Below are 19095 nucleotides of genomic sequence, written 5' to 3'. Positions count from 1 at the left end.
AACAGAGTAGGAGAAGATGGAGGATGCAAGGGAATAGGACACCTGTGTCCTAACCTCCTCTCGGGTATATATCCCGGGTTGGGGAACTCTTTCCACAAGCCCGGAGAGAACTGGTAACAAGAGGGCGGGGCGAGTGCGAGTTTCGATCCAGATAGGGCCTCCAGGTGGAGCGCCTGGGATCTCAACGGCACCTGGCCCCCGGGCGGGCGGATTCAGCCCCCGGGGAGCAGGCGCGGGAGTGAGGAGCCCCGATTGATTCTGCATGGGATGGGCCACGGCTCAGGGGGCCAGAGGCGGCGCCAAGGCAGGGGGCGCGGATCCAGCACAGCTCCTTCCCGGCCCAAACCGAATAAAACTCCCAGCAGCCCACAGTGAGACCCAGTGGAAAAGGCGCCCTCTGCTGGAGAGGCGCAGACGGGCGGAGCTGGAAGAGACAAAACCCAAAACACCTGAACATTTATTTCAGCAACTAGAATACTTCAAGTAGGAGGCGGGGGAAGCCGTGCCTTGTCAAGTTAAAGCGGACAACTTGTTCCTTCTCAGCACACCTCACTCCCAACTACCCTGCAGGATGGAGGTGTATCAGGAAAAACAGTGCTCCGGATCCCTTACCTGAGATCTAAAGACGCCACATTTTCTTCACAAGTGTTCTTAAGTCAACTGGGAGGACAAAGATTGCGTGAGTGCTTGGCTTATATGGTTTCATTTCTGTTTTCCAGTTGTCATTGTAGGCATGATCAATCTCTGCAAAAACAAAAAGAATAGGTTTAGGAGTAAAATATCCCTGAAATTAAGATTTCTAACCGTTCCCCTTCTAAGTGTATTTTAAAAGGGCACAACCAATTTCTTGATGTTTTGGATTTATTATTATTATTATTATTATTATTATTATTATTATTAAAGACAGGGTCTCATTCTGTCGCCCATGCTGAAGTACAATGGTCCGATCATAGCTCACTGCAGGCTTGAACTCCTGGACTCAAGCGATCCTTCAGCCTCAGCCTCTCAAAATGCTGGGATTACAAGCGTTAACAATTTCTCCCGGCTGCATTTTATTATTCTAATTGCGCAGCTTTGTCTAGTAAAGGATGGAGGACTAAAGGGAATAGGACACCTGTGTTCTAACCGCCTCCTTTTGGGTAGAGATCCCGGGTCGGGGGCCTATTCCACCTGACGGAACAGAGAGGTGCGGCTGCGCGTTTCGGTCCGGAAGAGGCCTTATATCAATGGTAGTTCTCCCTGCCTTTATATACCTCTTCTGTTAAGTTTGATAGTGCCCAGTAAAATAAAGTAAGAGTACGACTGATTTTCGGTATAACTGATACTACTAGAGGAAAAGTCAGCAAGGGAACATTCTAGAGAAACTGGTCTGTGCAGAATAGCACAATTTTTAAAAAAGTGACAATAAGACAAGGATAATTTCCTACTTGATTTTAATGGTACATCTTTTCTTTATTATTAGGTAAAATGAGAATTAAAACATCGCATTTTGTCTGTCTTTAAAGAAAAGAAAGAACTAGGACTTATTCTAGTGCAGGTTTTTTTCTTTCTTTTTTTTTTTTTTTTGACGGAGTCTTGCTCTGTCGCCCAGGCTGGAGTACAGTGGTGCAATCTCGTCCCACTGCAACCTCCACCTCCCGGGTTCAAGCGATTCTCCTGTCTCAGCCTCCCGAGTGGCTGGGATTACAGGCATCCGCCACCACACCCACCTAACTTTTGTATTTTTAGTAGAGATGGGTTTCGCCATGTTAGCCAGGCTGGTCTAGAACTCCTGACCTCAGGTGACCCACCTGCCTTGGCCTCCTAAAGTGTTGGGATTACAGGCCTGAGCCACTGTACTCAGCCTTTAGTGCAGGTTTCTACATTAATCTTCCTCTCCTTTGTTCTCGTGAGCTGACTATCAAGACCAGATTAGGATATGTGGTTGTTTCCTAAGAGACTTAAGCTTGGGGGACATGTGTTTGTTTTGGGAGTATGTCAGTATGTCTGTGTGTGTGAGTATGGTGGGCAAGGGAAAGAAAGATGAGATCCTCCCTCTCAGTTTAAGGTAGTCTAGGTCTCAGGAAAGAAATGAGGTATGAGCTGCATAACATTTGGGTAATGAAGCAGGTCTTCGAAGAACCAGTAGGGCTTCGAAGAACCAGTAGGCCTCCAATGTCCCCATCCATGGCCATACACGTGGAATCAGTGAAATGGATGAGAGTAGGTTCCCGGTCAGGATCATGTACAGGGAGTTGAGAATTCACTTTTCTTTCTTTCAGAAGACCAATTTTAATTTTTCCACCCAACAGGGGTCAGCAACACACAGAAACTTGTCTTAACTAACTCTTTCCTCTTCTTTAAAATATTATCTATATATAGATAATTTCCCCTTCTTTAAAAATTATCTATAAAATTCTCTCTCTATATATATCAGTAATTTTTAAAGGGGAAGATATATACATAAAGATATATATGTTTAATATATAGATAATTATGTATATCTCTGTTTTATTTTATATATATGATAAAACAGAAAGAGAGAGACAGTGTGTGTTTACTCTTTTACCCAAGTACATATGCCTTTCTAGTGCTTTGCAGAGTACTTTGAATAAGAAGGTTCAGAGACATCTGAAAATTATCTGTGAACTTTTGCTATTCTGATTCTTTTAAGGTGGTATATTATAAAATTTTTAAAGGTACAAAATTACTTTAAAACAGCCAGTGGGTTAGTAGTTGGTAATGCTAGTAACTGATAGTAGATGACATGTAAGTGCTCACTATGCCACTATGCTGGACAACACAAGCAAATACCGCACATACATTATAGAACTTGATTCTCACCAGCCTGATAATATCAGCGTGTGTCAGGCTTTCTAGGTGGTATCCACTGCGCTAAACACCTCAGTATGCACTATTTGATTTATTTTTTCTTAACCTTACAAAAGAGGAACTACTATCAATTCCACCTTAAAAATGAGAACACTTTTGATTACCTCTGTAAAAAAGAAAAAAAAAAGGAAAAAATGAGAAAATCAAAGCTTAGGAAGGTTAAACAATTAGCTTAAAGTCACACTGGTAGTAAGTGGTGGCACTGGGATTTGAGCAGGCAGGCTAGTCTTCGCCACTCTTGTTATTATACATTCTACACTCTTACAGAGGAGTTAGTTGAGATTCTTTAGAGGTAAATCCAATCATGTTACTCTTATTCAGTATCCTTTAGTGAGTTCCCATTTCTATCAAAGTAAAATCCACACTCTTTATTATCATGTACAAGGCCCTCTGAGTTCTAGCTCCCTGTTACTCTGACATCAACTGCTGCTGCTTTCTTGTTCTCTGCCAGCCATAGCTGTCTCTTTGCCCAACAAGCCAGGCAACACTCTTCTGTCTCAGGGCTTTTGCACTTGCTGTTTCCTCTTTTGGGAATGCTTTTTTTTCTCAGCTATCTGCATGACCTCAGGCCTGGTGAAACATCGCATCAGGAAGTTAGGGACTGGTCTATTCCAAGTTGCTACCTTCCTTTCTACTCCTAATCTTGACACTCCCTATTCTTCTTCTCTCATTCCTTATATTTTTTCTTAAATGTCTATATTTTTAAATCCACCTATTTATTAACAGTTACTTTTCCTCTTTAAGATATAAACATCACAGAGGGCAGGTATTTTTGCTTCCCTGTTTAAATTGCAGCATCAGCATTTACAATAGAACGTGGCATAGTAACAGGCACTCAATAAGTATTTGAATGAATGACAAGAGCTTAGGAAACTCACCCAAGTTCACACAGTTAGCAATAGGTGAAGTGAACTTTGTTACAAATCCAGTATTGGATTTATCCACATATCAAATGCATAAACCATCTTCCTGGGCTCTTCTTAGAATTCCCTTGGTCTTTAATTATAATAGACTGAGTGAACATGAATAAACAAACCAAACAGGAAAAAGGCAGCATTTGTTACTGTCTCTTAAAGTGGGATACTTTAAAGTGAGATCAAATCAGAGGCCAGGTCAGCGAAAGGGGACACTGGTCTTTAACAGAAAGGGAGTTGACAAGTGATGAAGTCAGGAATGTGCTGATGTTTCTGGGCTGCGTGAAGGGGCAAAGTGTGGGAAGGTCCTGGATGAAGCTGGTGTTGGGTTAATTAATTAGGGTGGGATGCCTGTGCATTAAGGGGAGGAAGGAACCAAGGGGATTGATTTGGAGTAGACTGGAGTCTCAAGTAGCATTTACAAAGGATCCTGGAGGCACAGGAAGGATGGGAGAAGTGTTGGGTACAGCTCAATTTGGCGAGTGGCCAAAGAAACATGTCAGATATTAGTGAAAACAGGCCACAGCTGCTGCACTTTACAAGCTAAATGGCAGGCCTTTCCTTAGCCCTCCCCCACCCCAGCCCATCTTATGTCTTGTAATAGTTATTTTCTTCCTGAGACAGCCAGCCATAACTCAGTTCTCACTTGAGGGCACAGGAGAAGCAAAGGGATGCTGAGGCTTCATTGCCAAGGGAAGAGGGTTCAGAGCATGAATGAAAACTCAATTTCTCCTGAAGCTGAGAATTTAAATGTTAGTGTATTGAAGACCCACCTCTTTCATTCCCAGGATCATTTTTAAAAAATCACGGTTATTTCTCTTTAATCTCATGATATCTAAACTTGTCATTTCTAAGATTTCTAGAATACTTAAAAGTCTTTTAAAACTGTTTTCCTCTTCAAAATGTATTTGTACATTTTGTATATTTGTATATTTCTCCTTTCTAGAAAAAACATCCTAGATAGTTCAGAGTAAAATAAATGTGTGCATATCTATATATATATCTATATATATATGTATATATATATCTATATATATATCTATATATATATGTATATATATCTATATATATATCTATATATATATGTATATATATATCTATATATATATCTATATATATGTATATATATATGTATATATATATCTATATATATATGTATATATACACACCCATATACGTATACTACACTGGAGTGTTTAAATATAGAAAGAACAAAAACACTGAAAGAGAACACATGTTGTTACTAAATAATACTATTTGGTTAAGCTGCTTGGTAGCATCTCTTCCCTCCTCTTTCTTACCCTTTTCCCACACTTACCTTACAAAACTTTGCAATTAGATGCATGGACTCTGGAATTCATAGCTGCATTTCAATCCAGGCTCTGCCACCTTCTAGTTGTGTAACAGTGCCCGCATTATTTAGCTTTTATTTTCCTTATTTTTCCTCATTTGTAAAATGAGGCCAAAAATAATTAACTAAAGGACATTCATAATAAAATAGTATTAAATGTTAAATATTACTATTATTTACAGACATTATAATTTTTTTTTAAGTTCAGGGGTACATGTGCAGGTTGGTTACATAGGTAAACATGTGTCATGGGGGTTTGTTGTACAGGTTATTTCATCACCCGGGTATTAAGCCTAGTACCCATTAGTTATTTTTCCTGATCCTCTCCCTCCTTCCACCCTCCACCATCAATAGGCTCCAGTGTGTGTTGTTCCCCTCTACGTGTCCATGTGTTCTCATCATTTAGCTTCCACTTAAAAGCGAGAACATACGGTATTTGGTTTTCTGTTCCTGTGATAGTTTGTTAAGGATAGTGGCCTCCAGCTCCATCCATGTTCCTTCAAAGGACATGATCTCATTTTTTTATGGCTGCATAGTATTCCATGGTATATAAGTACCACATTTTCCTTATCCAGTCTATCACTGATGGGCATTTAGGTTGATTCCATGTCTCTGCTACTGTGACTAGTGCTGCAATGAACATAGGCGTCCACGTGTCTTTATAATAGAATGATTTATATTCCTTTGTGTATATATCCAGTAAGGGGATTGCTGGGTTGGATGATCTTTCTGTCCTTTAGGTCTTTGAGAAATCACCACGCCATCTTCCACAATGATTGAACTAATTTACACTCCCACTAAAAGTGTCTAAGCATTCCTTTTTCTCTACCACCTTGCCAGCATCTGTTATTTTTTGACATTTTGATAATAGCCATTTTGACTGGTGTTAGATGGTATCTCATTGTGGTTTTGATTTGCATTTCTCTAATAATCAGTGATGCTGAGCTTTTTTTTCATATGATTGTTGGCCACATGTGTCTTTTTTTGAGAAGCATCTGTTCATGTCCTTTGCCCACTTTTTAATGAGGTTGTTTATTTATTACCTCTTGTAAATTTGTTTAAGTTCCTTATAGATGCTGGATATTAGACCTTTAAGTTCCTTATAGATGATGGATATCAGATGCATAGTTTGCAAAAATTTTCTCCCATTCTGTAGGTTGTCTGTTTACTCTGTAAATTCTTAAATAATTTTTGTATGTATTTGGAACTTCATATTGGCTGCTCATCATTTAAAGTCTAAAGCGGGTGGGAAACTGGTTTCTTAACTGGTTTTATACAGCACTTAGGAAAACTACTTCAACACTTTTATCATGTTGAGGAAAAGAAAATGTAATTACAGTTCTAGCCAAATGATGCTTCTTATTCTTGATGAAAATATAAATGTATATGGCATATGAAAAACTCTTCTATTTGGTGAAATAAAAGTTAATATAAAATTAAGAGCAGGTTCAACATTTAGGAAGTGAATTTATTGTTTTCTTAGTATCAATTTTTCTTTCTGACATTGTCCAAATGTTGTGTGAAGTTGTGTTTTTTTTTTTTTTTGAATAACACTCATTTGAATGCTGAGATGGTGTAAGGTCCATGACCCCAGGAACTACCTGCTGTTTAAGATGAGGAACGTGGTGGTTTATCAAGCACACATGATAAGAATGAAGATTTTACTGTAATTTCTTCCTTGATTTCTTCTAACATGAATTGATACTTATGAGGGCATCATAAAGCATGGATAAAGATTGTGAAAAACATTGAAACCAAACTAAATCTTATGTAAGTTATCAATGAATAGATTTACCTCAAATTGCTAATTTTAAGTGCTTTATTGGTTAATCAATTGTTCTGTGGTCAGTTGATTATTTAAACTAAACGAATTATTGATTTTTTAAAATCAGGTGCTGAGCTTTGTTAAAGGGGCTAAATATAGAAAGTTGCATAAGACAAGTCCTGCCCTCAATAGAAGTCATTTTGTATTAGGAGAGATACAAATTATCGTCTTTTAATTGTAATGCACGTGGTAATGCTATGACAATATAGGACTAGGAGGATGCTAAAAAGACAAGGGCTAATTCTTCTAGAATTAAGGGGTGTGGGTGATCTTGAAGGATGAATAGAGGTAACACAGCGTCATCTCAAAGAGCAGCCAGAGAATACTTGGTGCTTCTGGTACATGCAAATAGTCTATTGAAGCAGGAGTATAGGTTGCTTGGTGGAGACTGTCGTGATATGTGACTGGAAAAAGGATAAAGCTGAAAACAAGGCAGTGACAATGAAAATGGAGAGGAAAGTATTTACTTGATAAACATTTTGAGGTATGATAGACAACACATGCTGACTAATGGCCGTGAAGGTCTAGGGAGCTAGAAATTGGAGATAAAGTGGCTTGAGTTTGTAATATTATCTGAGATAGGAAACACAGCACAAGTTTATTTTTGTTTTATGCTTTGCTTTTGCTTGGCAAGGATGTGAGTATTGCTAATTCAGATTAAAGAGTTTTGAGTTTAAATATGTTGTCACCATGCAACCAAACTACCTTTGCCTTACTGGTTCTGGTATTCAGCTAGTCACAGCATCCTCTTAACTTGTATTTGCACTGTGCCACGCATCTCATGGCTGGTCTGGTTCATTCTTCCTCCCTTACGGAATGTTGTGTACCTTTTTCAGGGCTCTTAGTTTTTAATGCTAGCGACAAGCAATAGAACTGGCTAGTATCAACTAAAATAAAACAAAGAAAGCTCTTTCTATGATTCAAATACGACACATACCCAAACAACGTAACCCATTCCCCTGGGCACACTATTCCAGGTGACTCTTTTGGTCCTTAGAAACTTCTAGATCCCTAACCAGATGTGAGAGTTAGCAAAAGAAGTAAACAGTTCATTTGAGTGCACCAGGAAACTTCTCTCCATTCCCAGATACATTCCTATTCCTGAGAGTTATGCACAAGTCAATAAAGATTAACTAAACAGTTGGAAATACAACTAAATAAAAGCTGAGACTTTTAAAATCACTCAAGAATATGCACATTGTAAGCCATTTGGTAGGAAACTGCTGCATGTTTGTTTTTGCTCTGTTTCTTAACACAGTTTCTAGAAAAATCAGCTTTGAGACCGGGCACAGTGGCTCACGCCTGTAATCCCAGCACTTTGGGAGGCCGAGGCAGGCAGATCATTAGGTCAGGAGTTCGAGACCATCCTGGCTAACACAGTGAAACCCCAACTCTACTAAAAATATAAAAAGTTAGCCGGGCGTGGTGGCGGGTGCCTGTAGTCCCAGCTACTCGGGAGGCTGAGGCAGGAGAATGGCGTGAACCCAGGAAGCAGAGCTTGTAGTGAGCCGAGATGGCTCCACTGTACTCCAGCCTGGGTGACAGGGCAAGATTCCGTCTCAAAAAAAAAAAAAAAAAAATCAGCTTTGGCAGAAAAATGGAAGATCCTCTGTAAATGGATACTTGAGAGCTTGGGCTGTGTTCATAGTTTTCTTCTTAAACTGAAAGCCTTAATTCACTCTACTGATGGATGAGCTATATTTTTTCTCCCTTTAAAACTAATTTGTAACTATAGTATAAAATGTAAACATAGGCTGGGGTGCGGTGGCTCACGCCTGTAATCCCAGCACTTTGGGAGGCGAAGGTTGGCAGATCGCTTGAGGCCAGGAGTTTAAGACCAGCCTGGCCAACATGTGAAGCCCCATCTCTACCAAAAATACCAAAAAATTAGCTGGGCATTGTGGCATGCACCTGTAAACCCAGCTACTTGGGAGGCTGAGGCGCTTGAATTGCTTGAACCTGGGAGGTGGAGGTTGCAGTGAGGTGAGATCGCACCACTGCACTCCAGCCTGGGTAACAAAGCGAGACTCCATTTCAAAGAAAAAAAAAAGTAAACATATCAAAGTGGCATATATTAAACAAAAGCATATTTTAAGAGTTTTTAAAACAGATGAAGGCAAATATTCTTTTGGCTTATACATTTCTATTTAGATGTTAGTCTAAGAGTACTTTAAGGTACATATAATTGTGACTAGTATTTAATTTTAGAGAACAGTTATCCAATTTGTGGACTCAAGAGATAACATGAAGTTTTAAAAAATGTCGTTAACTTTTTACTTTTGGTCTTGTAATTAATTTGTGTATTTTTTCAGTATGAGGATAGAAAAATGAAACAAATCAATTCTACTCCCTGAATATAGCTCTAGTACAAAGTCAGGTGGAGTTGAGAAGATTTAAATTACTCTGGAAACTGGAATAAAGTTTCTAATGATGTGTGCATTTAGATTTATTTACACCAGTTCTTCCAGTTACAATGTAGAATTGAAAAATGGATTTAAATTATAGGAACCATACGTATTTCAATGCTAGAATGTCTTCATTGGAGAGAAAGAAATACAGAATCACTAATTTAATAATATTTTTTTTCTTGTAATTTGTACAAATGTATGGGCTACACATGCAATTTTGTTACATGCGTAGATTGTGTAGCCGTCAAGTCCAGGCTTTTAGGGTATTCATCACCCAAATAACGTACATTGTGCCTATTAACTAATTTCAAATCATCCTCCCTCACACCCCCTCACCCTTCCAAGTGTCTATTATCTATCATTCTACTCTCTATGTCCATGTTAACACATTTTTTTTTTTGTTTTTAGCGCTCACTTATGAGTGAGAACATGAGATATTTGTGTTTCTGCTCCTGGAGTGTTTAGCTTAAGGTAATGACCTCCAGTTCCATCCACGTTGCTGCAGAGGACATGATTTCATTCTTTTTTTAAATGGCTGAATAGTATTCCATTGTGTATATATTCCACATTTCCTTTATCTGTTCATCCATTGATGGACACTTAGATTGATTCTCTATCTTTGTCATTGTGAATGGTGCTGCAATAGACATATGAGTGCAGGTATCTTTTTGATATATTGATTTATTTCCCTTTGGATAGATACCCAGTAGTGGGATTGCTGGATTGAATCGTAGTTCTATTTGAGTTCTTTGAGAAACCTCCATACTGTTTTCCACAGAGGTTGTATTAATTTACATTCCCACCAACAGTGTATGAGAGTTCCTTTTTCTCTGCATCCTCACCAACATCTGTTATTTTTTGTCTTCTTAATAATCATCATTCTTGCTGGTGTGAGATGGTATCTCATTGTGGTTTTAATTTGCATTTCTCTGATGTTGATAATATACTTTCTTTATAAAGAGCTAAAAGTTGATTTATTGAAAATCTTCAAATGCTTTAAATATCTGTCTAGTAACTCTTATTTGTGGTTTCCAGAAGAAGAATTGAGCCAGCATTGCTGGTTGTTCTGCTCAGAGGAAGGGCTCCTCTCTGGCATAATCAGTTATTTTACTCATTTCTTTTTTTAACATTAAGTTTGAGAATTTACCAGTTGCCAGAAAAGGGAAACAAAAGTTTTTTTTAGATATAAAAGGCTTAAGAAGATATTTTAAAAAAGTTTTGATACTTGATGAGTTCATTTAAAAGTTTTCAAAAGTATTTCAGATTTGACTAATGTACTTATGTCAGAGTTCCTATTAGTTTTGAATAATTTCATTTTCAATTCGTTTAAACTTGAATGTTAGTACAGACTATAAAAATAATAAAATTAGTTATTTATATTGATTAAAAACTATCATATTAGTTTTAATTGATCACTTCAGTTTTATTTTTTCCTCAGTTGAGGTTACTAGCAGAGCCATTTCTAAATACATTGTTGACATGCAGAATTTTCCCTCAGAGAGTAATCTTCTCCTTCTTACCATGAGTCCAGAAACCTCATGTATTTCGTGAAATAAGATTACCCACTGTAGAGCCTCCATCTCATGTTCTAGAATTTTCTTTCATTCTCTCTGTTAAAACTTCTTTTGTCTTTCCTCTTGGTTTTGAGCTCTGTTCCTAGGCCATCATTAAAGCATTAATGGCCAATATGCCTTAATAATAAGTTACGCCTTCCAGGCAACATCTTTCTACACTTCCAAGAGAAAGTAATTTTAAGGAAAAAAAAATCAGGAGTGCTTTATTTCAAGGGGAACCTTTTCATTATTTCCCCAAATCATACTTTTAGAATCTGCTTGCCTAGTTTGGTGCAATAATTCCTAATAATCCCACAGAGCATTTTATGGGTCACAACCTGAAACCATACAGGAATGCTGCCTTGATGGGCATTGTAATACTCTAGGGCAGTGGTTCTGAAAAGATGATTATGTCCCTTTCCCTCCTCCACCCCGAAGATATTTGGTAATGTCTGTAAACATTTTTTGTTGTCACAACTGGGGAAGTGCTACTGGCATCTAGTGGGTAGAGGCCAGGTATGCTGTTCAACATTCTATAATGCAAAGAGTATCCTCCTACAAGGATTACTTAGCCCACAAATGTGAATAGTGCTGAGGTTGAGAAACCCTGCTCTCAGACAATACCAGCCTAGGATGCAGATAATTAATCTAGCCAAAAGGCTTTCTTTTTAGTCTGGAATCAGAAGTGAAGTAAATTTTGATTGACCACTTAGAGTGGCACAGCTATTTATGAGATAGTCTACTACATTTTTGCTTTGGCAGAGATAAATAGTTAAAATATATATACTTTCAAATTGGAATTTAAATTAAGCATTTTGTAATAAATGAAACAGGGAACTTTAGAGTTTTGCCTTGGTCATTAATATTATAGTTTTAGAAGTAACACTTTTAGTGCTTTTCCTTAGTGTTATTTCCCCACTCGGATTCTTTTCATTTTCTCTAGTTTGGGACAGATAACCCAGCAAGCTTCTTGGGTTTGTGTGAATGCACAATATTTATTAATATTTACTATATTTTCTTCTGTTTCTTTAAGTTACATCTTTCTATGTTTGAGTTTTTCAAAGCTTTCTATAGTTTGAATCATTCACTAATTTATTCATTAAATAAATGTTTATTGTCAATTGATCCAGATAAAGTATGTTAGGGCTACAATAATGAATAAAATGGACAAAAGTCCATACAGTCAAGGAGTTTATATTCTAGTGGAATAGAGAGACAATAAAAAAAATACACCAGAAAATTGCACAGGGATGAGTGCTATGGAAACAATTAAGACAGAAAGAGAAGGGGGAGTTTCAGGGTGAGGGATGGGGGTAAAATCTTAAATTGATTGACAAATACAGACAAACTGAAAAAGTGGCATCTGAGCAAATACCTGAAGAGGATTGGAGGTGTGCCATATGGAAATCTGGGAGAAGTACGTTCCAGGAAGGGGAAATTACAAGTGCAAATGTCCTGAGGCTGGAATGTACTTGGTCTGTTTGAGGACAGCAGAGCAGTCCGCATAGCTGGAAGAGAGTGAACTGGAGATGAAGAAGAAGCAATGGAGTCAGGGAGGTGATGGATGAAAGGATCATGTCAGAATTTACAAGGTTGTTGGAGAGATGTTGGCTTTTACCCTGAGTGAGAGGGGGAGCCATTTGACACTTTTGAGAAGAAGCACAACAGAATCTGACTTGTGTTTTAAAATGATCACGTTGACACTTACTTATACACTGTGGTGGGAATGTAAATTAGTTGAGACACTGTGGAGAGAAGTTTGGAGATTTCTCAAAGAACTAAGAGTTGAACTACCATTGGGCCCAGCAATTTGATTACAGTACATATACCCACAGGTTCTACCGAAACGTGCACCCATATGTTCATTGCAGCAGTATTCACAATAGAAAAGACATGGAATCAACCCAGGTGGCCATCAATGGCGGACTGAATAAAGAAAATGTGGTACATATACACCATGGAATACTATGCAGCCATAAAGAATTAAATCATATCCTTTGTGGCAACACAGATGCAGCTGGAAACCATTATCCTAAGCAAACTAACACAGAAACAGAAAACTAAATACTGCATGTTCTCACTTATAAGTAGGAACTAAATATTGGGTACTCATGGACTTAAAGATGGGAACAATAGATACTGGGGAATACAAGTGGGAGGAGGGAAGAAGAGGGGCAAGAACTGAAAAACCACTTATTGTCTACTATGCTCAGTACATGGATGACGGATTCATTTGTACTCCAAACCTCAGATCATACCTTTGTTACAAAGGTATGATTAGACCTGCACATATATCCCTGATTCTAAAATAAAAGTTGAAAAAAATTATCAAATAATGTTGTAGAATTCCAAAAGAAGATAATTAAACTCACATTTTAATAACTAAAATAAATAAATATATAAAATGTTCACTTTTGTCCACTATCTGGAGAATAGGCTAGTGGGGAAAGGGTAGAAACAGGAAGACCAGATAGAAACCTGTACATGGCATATGGACCAGGATGCTCAAACCTAGAAGTGGTAGATCTATTGATGGATTTGATTTGAAAACAGGAGAGGAGCCAAGAGTTTTAGCCAGAGCAACTGGGGGACCAGTGTGGTAGACTGTTTTACTGTTTACCAAATATTTTAGTTTCACTAGATGTAGGCTCCTTTCCCGTGAGGGGACAATACACCTCTGCCCTGTGGAAAATGGGAAGCCATGTGACTTGCTTGACCAATAGAAGTGGTCAGAAGCTTTAAGAGCCAGCACTTGGTTCGTGTGTCATTTTTCCTTTTGCCACAAATCCAGTAATTTTCCAGATAAAGGTTATTCTGTAATTCTGGCTCCTGGAGTAAAGCTGATGTGGATGGCAACTATAGGAGACAGGCAGAAGATAGGCAGCAAGAAATAAACCTTTGCTTTTGGAAGCTGGTACAGTGTTAAGTTCGTTTATTGCTTCAGCAGAACCCAGCTGAGCCTGACCAATACAGATAGGGTTGGCATTAACTGAGATGGAGATGTCTGCTAGAAGAGCAGGTGTTGGATGTGTATGGAGAGACCAGGAGTTTCAGTTTAGGTAAGTGAGATTTGAGATGCCTTATTAGACATCCAAGTGGAACTGTCAAGTAGCTGGTTGTCTATAAAGAGCTGGAGTTCAAGGGAGAGGTCGTGGATAAGGATCTACATTTGAGAGTCTTCAGCCTGAGATTGAACAAAATTACCAAGGGAGTGTATAGATGTATAAGAAGCCCAGGAACTGAGGTTGGGAGTATTCCAACAATGAACAAATGAGACTGAGAAGGAGCAGCAGTAAAAGAGGAGGAAGACTAGGAGAGCATATTATCCTGGAAGCTAAGTGAACAAAGTATCTCAAGAATGATAAGCTTGTCATATGGTACTGATACATCAAGTGAGGTCAAGACTGAGAATTGACTTTGTGATGCAGCAATGTGGAGGTCACCAATGACCTTGACAGGAGCAGCTTAGACAAAGTGGTCTGTAGGAAAGCCTGAATGAAATGGGTTCAGGACGGAATGGCAGGAGAAGAGTGAGACAGCAAATATAGATAACGCTTTCAAGGAGTTTTCCTGTAATATGGAGCAGAGAGTGATAGCTGGGTGATATGGTTTGGCTCTGTGTCCCCACCCAAATCTCATCTTGTAGCTCCCATAATTCCCATGTATTGTGGGAGGCAGCCAGTGGGAGAGACCTGGTGGAAGATGATTGACTCATGGGGACAGGTCTTTCCCATGCTGTTCTTGTGATAGTGAATGGGTCTCATGAGATCTGATGGTTTTAAAAATGGGAGTTTCTTTGCACAAGCTCTCTCTTTGCCTGCCGCCATCCATGTAAGACGTGACTTGTGCCTCTTTGCCTTCTGACATGATTGTGAGGCCTCCCTAGCCATGTGGAAATATATATATAAGTCCCTTAAAATCTCTTTTTCTTCCTAGTCTCTGGTAAGTCTTTATCAACAGCATGAAAATGGACTAATATACTGAGGAAGGAAATGGGGCAAAAAGGTGTTTGTGTTTTGCTTTTTTTTTGGTAAGATGGGTAAAGTGAAAACCTACTGATTTGCTAATGAAGTGATCCAAGAGAGGAAAAACAGTTGATGAGGCAGAAGAGGGAGGGAGAATTGCTGGAGACATGTCATTTAATAGGCCAGAAGAGATGGGATATGGTACACAAATGGAGATGAAGGACCACATACAGTCCGTTTACAGGAAGAGGACGGGAAGGAAAGTATGAGGATATAGATGGGTGTGGGGTGAGAGCTTGTAGAACTTCTGATTGCTTCTGTTATTTTCATTAAAAATGGAAGCCAGGTCATCCACTGAGAGTGAGGATGGGGAAAGAGCTGCTAGAGATTTGGCATAGTTGTGTGTTTTTCTCCATCTATGTTCAGTTGGATGTAATGTAAGTGTGGAGTGATGGAAAGATGCATATAACCATGGTTGGAGGTTTTCCTAGCAAATTCGACAAGGCAAAGGAGGATGAAGTGTTTGGGTGTGTATTCAGGGGAGAAATTACAGTGAACAACCATGGAATTTTAGGTGGGTAAGGAGAGATGTGAGGAACTGGGGGCACTGAGAGACAGTGAGAAGGCGGTACTGTGAATGGATTGGTGAAGTTGGAGAAGTAGAAGGAATACATTGCAAAAACAGAAGCTGTTGGTCAGAGAATGGGCTGCTTAAAATTGAGATTCTAGAAAGGCTGCAATTGGTAATGGCAAAGGCTAGGGTATGTCAATGGAAGTGAGTAGGGTGTAGGACAAGATCCTGGAAGTTTTTTACACTGAAGTTGCTCTATTTAATTCATTTCTTTTTTCTTAAGAATTTTCTTTCACTGAAACTCCTCAATTAAACTCATATTTCTTGCGAGTTCCATCCATATGGATTTCAAATCTAATGAAAATTTACAAAGCCAAATTGAGTAAGGAAGGAGTTTGTTGAGTATTATTTCAATAATTAAGATGTGTTCATATCAAAGATGACCTAATCACTCATTAAAGTCCCTAAATATATTAGACAGTTAAAAATTTGTTATTTATTTGTTTAATATTTGGCTTCATGCTACCTTTATAAATTATTATCTTTAATATCACTCTTCTCACCATCATCTATTGAACTATTTATATTCTTAAGATATTGTTTAGTGTTGGGCAGTCACTAATTATTAGGTTGTGAAAATCAGATAGGAGATACCTAATTATCAAAAAACGTGAATGTATTGTTTATCTGAAACAATGGAGAAAGTCCTGTTTTATACTTGACAAATCACAGAACTATAAGTTAACTTTGAAGCATCAGGGCTTCAGGTCAGTTTTGGATGCTTAGAAAAAGTTGAAGGTAAATCATTGAATTTATATGAAAAAATAATTACAAATAATTTAAAGTCTGAGACTAAGAATGAGACTTACTGCTAAGGAGAAAATACGGTTATTGATCCTAACCTGACCGACTTTATGTCAGTCTTTTACATTGACATTTGATTGATATAAATCTCATACAACCCCAAATTTTGGATTAGCTTTTTTCCAAATGATTTCCAATGAATGTGAATTCATATATATTTCTAATTTACATGTATGTCATATAAATTTAATTTTATGACTGATTCTGAGGTTGTTAAAGGTCTCTAAGGCAGAAACTGTTATCTCCCAATTATCCTTCTCCTTTCTTTAATATAAATACCTGATTTTGTCATAGCATTTTTCAGCTTAAAGACTGCATTTTCCAGGCTTGAAAGCAGCCAAGTGAGCTTTGGGACTAGGTTGGGGAATTTTAGGTGGTTCTTCTTAGAAGTCTTCTTTAAAGTGAGCGTGCATGCCCTTCTTTTCTCCCTCTGTCTGGTTTCCTGGAACTCAGATGTACACGTGATGTCTGGAGCTCTGGTAGCCATGTTGGGTGATGAGATGAAGGAGTTACTAGCACTAGAATTGGGAAAGAAGACCTGGAAGGTGCCTGGGTTGCTGAAGAGCTCTTGAAGCCACTGCATCAGCCTGGACTGCTGAATATCAGTTTTCTTGATGGAACAAAATTTTATTTGTGTAAATCACTATTTTCGAGGTCTCTCTTAGTTGCAGCAAAATTCAATTTCTACAGATAAAGTAAGAATCATTCGTTCTCATCCCACCCATATGTCTTTTAAAGAAATTTTTCTTTTATTGACTGCTCTTCTGTTACCTCCTCATTTCTCTATAACTTCCTAGGAAAAGACAAACTTTGGGTGGGCCGCTGTTTTCATGTACAAGGTTTCTAGCCACTTGTCTTGGTGTTCCACATCTATGACAGCAGTTTGATCTCATTATGAAGTAACAGCTCAAACAGTAGTTCTAAATGAGGGTGAGGGTGGGGGAGTTGTAGAATCATTTTGGGGAGTTTTTCCAAACTACACATTCCTAGCTCCATTATCTCTGCAGAGATTCTGATATTCTTCTATCAGCTCCCATTCGAGACTCACTTATCTGTAGCACATCCGCAAGTGTTTACTTGCTTCCAATTGGCAAAATTTAACATTAAAAACAAACCAGGAATTCTGTGAAGTGAAAAACTGCCTAGATCATTACAAGGTAGTAGAAAAAAGGTATACATTTTTAAATATTTTGAAATCCACTTAGAGGCTCACAACCTTTTAATTTAAATGTGTCTTGAATCTTAGTTTGAAAAGCCCCAGTCAAATATAAGTGGCCTAATGTAAGTGACTATATATTTTTTCTCCACTAGTTTCTTCCTAGAATTCCTCCTTTAGAAATATGGGGAGAAAGTATGGAGGAAGACACTGGGCTGTATGTCTGTCAAATCACTATTTTTCTTTTCGTTATCACACTTTCAGTAATATATATTAAACACTAAATCATATGTATTGCTGTGCTAGGTGCTATATGCATTTGCCAATGGCAAAACACAATTATCTCCTGTTTCCATCAGAAGCTCTTCCAGGTCTCTGTGGGAGGACTCAGGGTCTTCTTTTTACTCTCTTGGTGGGTGGCCTGTTGATTTGGGCTTATACCGCTCAGCGTGTACTCATTAGGCTAAGCTGTAATTAGACCAAGACTGTGGCATTCCTTGCTTTGTCTACAAGACATGGTGATAGAAGAGACAAAGACTGGATTATATATACCTGATATATTCGATGAAGAAGTAGTGTGTTCAGGACAGGTGAACTCTATAAATAAAAATAATCAAAATAGAATTAAAAACTGAAAAGAGAGCAAGGTTACATGTAACAAGGAAATGACCTTACCTCAGAGGTGTGGCAGCAGCATTGCTGATTTTAAAATTGAAAAAGAAATCATAGACTGCCTTCAATGATTAGTTCCACAATTAGAGAGGAACTAATAGGATGCAAATACTATACTTGTGTGTACTCAGAGCATTGCAGAACAGTGTCTTGTGCAAACCATATGTTCAGGGAATGTGTATTATTGACTGATTACTTTCTTTTAAGTAGTAATTTTGTGCTTTGGGTGATACTGAAAGTTCATTTCAATCTGAGTATGCTTTTGATTTAAAAAAATCTTATTTGTGTAACTTTAATTGCACAGTCTTATATTCTTTGCTAATTTATATAAGTTGTGTGAAGTCCAGGATTTATTATTATGGCATTCAGCACAAGCCTTTAATAAATAATGGGTGGATTAAGTAAGTACAAGGAAAAAACCTCAGCATTTTTCTGAGATTTGACTTTTTACCTTATTGATTTTCTTTTTACCTTATTGACTAAGACATAAGCCTTAAGTACTGGATTTGAGAGAATGGCTGTGGTTGTCAGCTATCTACCTGAGTCCAGTCTCTCCTCTGCTTTAGTGAAGGGAATACTGCCAGGCAAATGCTAAGACTTCAGTTCCCATTCTTCCTTGGCTTTTGAGTGAAAGTGACTTGTGTCACATCTGGGCTGGCTGAGGCTTTTTATAAGTGCACCTGTGGGGTTTTCCATGCTCTTCTCCAGTTTCTGCCCACTGGATACAGATGATAATGCATCACTAGAAGATAGGACAGCCACACAGCAGGTTGAGGAGAGAGGCCCATTAGTATGAATACGAGCCCTCTGCTGCTACATATGTGAGAAATAAATTGCTATTGCTTTTAACTGACTAAAATGTCCAGGTCTATTGATTACATAAGTTTATTTTAACCAGTACAGATTTTAACTTATTTATTTCATATGAAAATTAATTATTCAATC

The 19095-nt window shown here is 38.1% G+C and overlaps 2 long non-coding RNA genes across 2 annotated transcripts in view, besides 1 other annotated feature; one reads left to right on the top strand and one right to left on the bottom strand.

Annotated features, from left to right (window-relative positions):
• LINC01312 (long intergenic non-protein coding RNA 1312) overlaps positions 1–17190 on the bottom strand; it is a 32846-nt gene extending 15656 nt beyond the window's left edge. The window contains exons 1-2 of the long non-coding RNA NR_027030.1: positions 16602–17190; positions 613–744 (exon numbers count right to left, since the gene is read on the bottom strand). This is a non-coding gene — a long non-coding RNA (long intergenic non-protein coding RNA 1312). The remainder of the gene's footprint in view (positions 1–612; positions 745–16601) is intronic.
• The window catches only part of TARID (TCF21 antisense RNA inducing promoter demethylation), a 386755-nt gene that overhangs the window by 50670 nt on the left and 316990 nt on the right, over positions 1–19095 (top strand). The window lies entirely within an intron of this gene.
• Positions 323–372: a silencer, noted in NCBI's record as "silent region_17554". NCBI's record gives its function as "represses an Ori minimal core promoter by ATAC-STARR-seq in GM12878 lymphoblastoid cells {active_cell/tissue: GM12878}" and the evidence as "EXISTENCE:reporter gene assay evidence [ECO:0000049][PMID:35858748]".

This window comes from Homo sapiens, chromosome 6 (genome assembly GCF_000001405.40).
Source record: "Homo sapiens chromosome 6, GRCh38.p14 Primary Assembly".
NCBI classification, from domain to species: domain Eukaryota; kingdom Metazoa; phylum Chordata; class Mammalia; order Primates; family Hominidae; genus Homo; species Homo sapiens.
The sequence above is the reverse complement of the archived record's forward strand: the minus strand, read 5'-3'. Positions and strand labels throughout refer to the sequence as shown.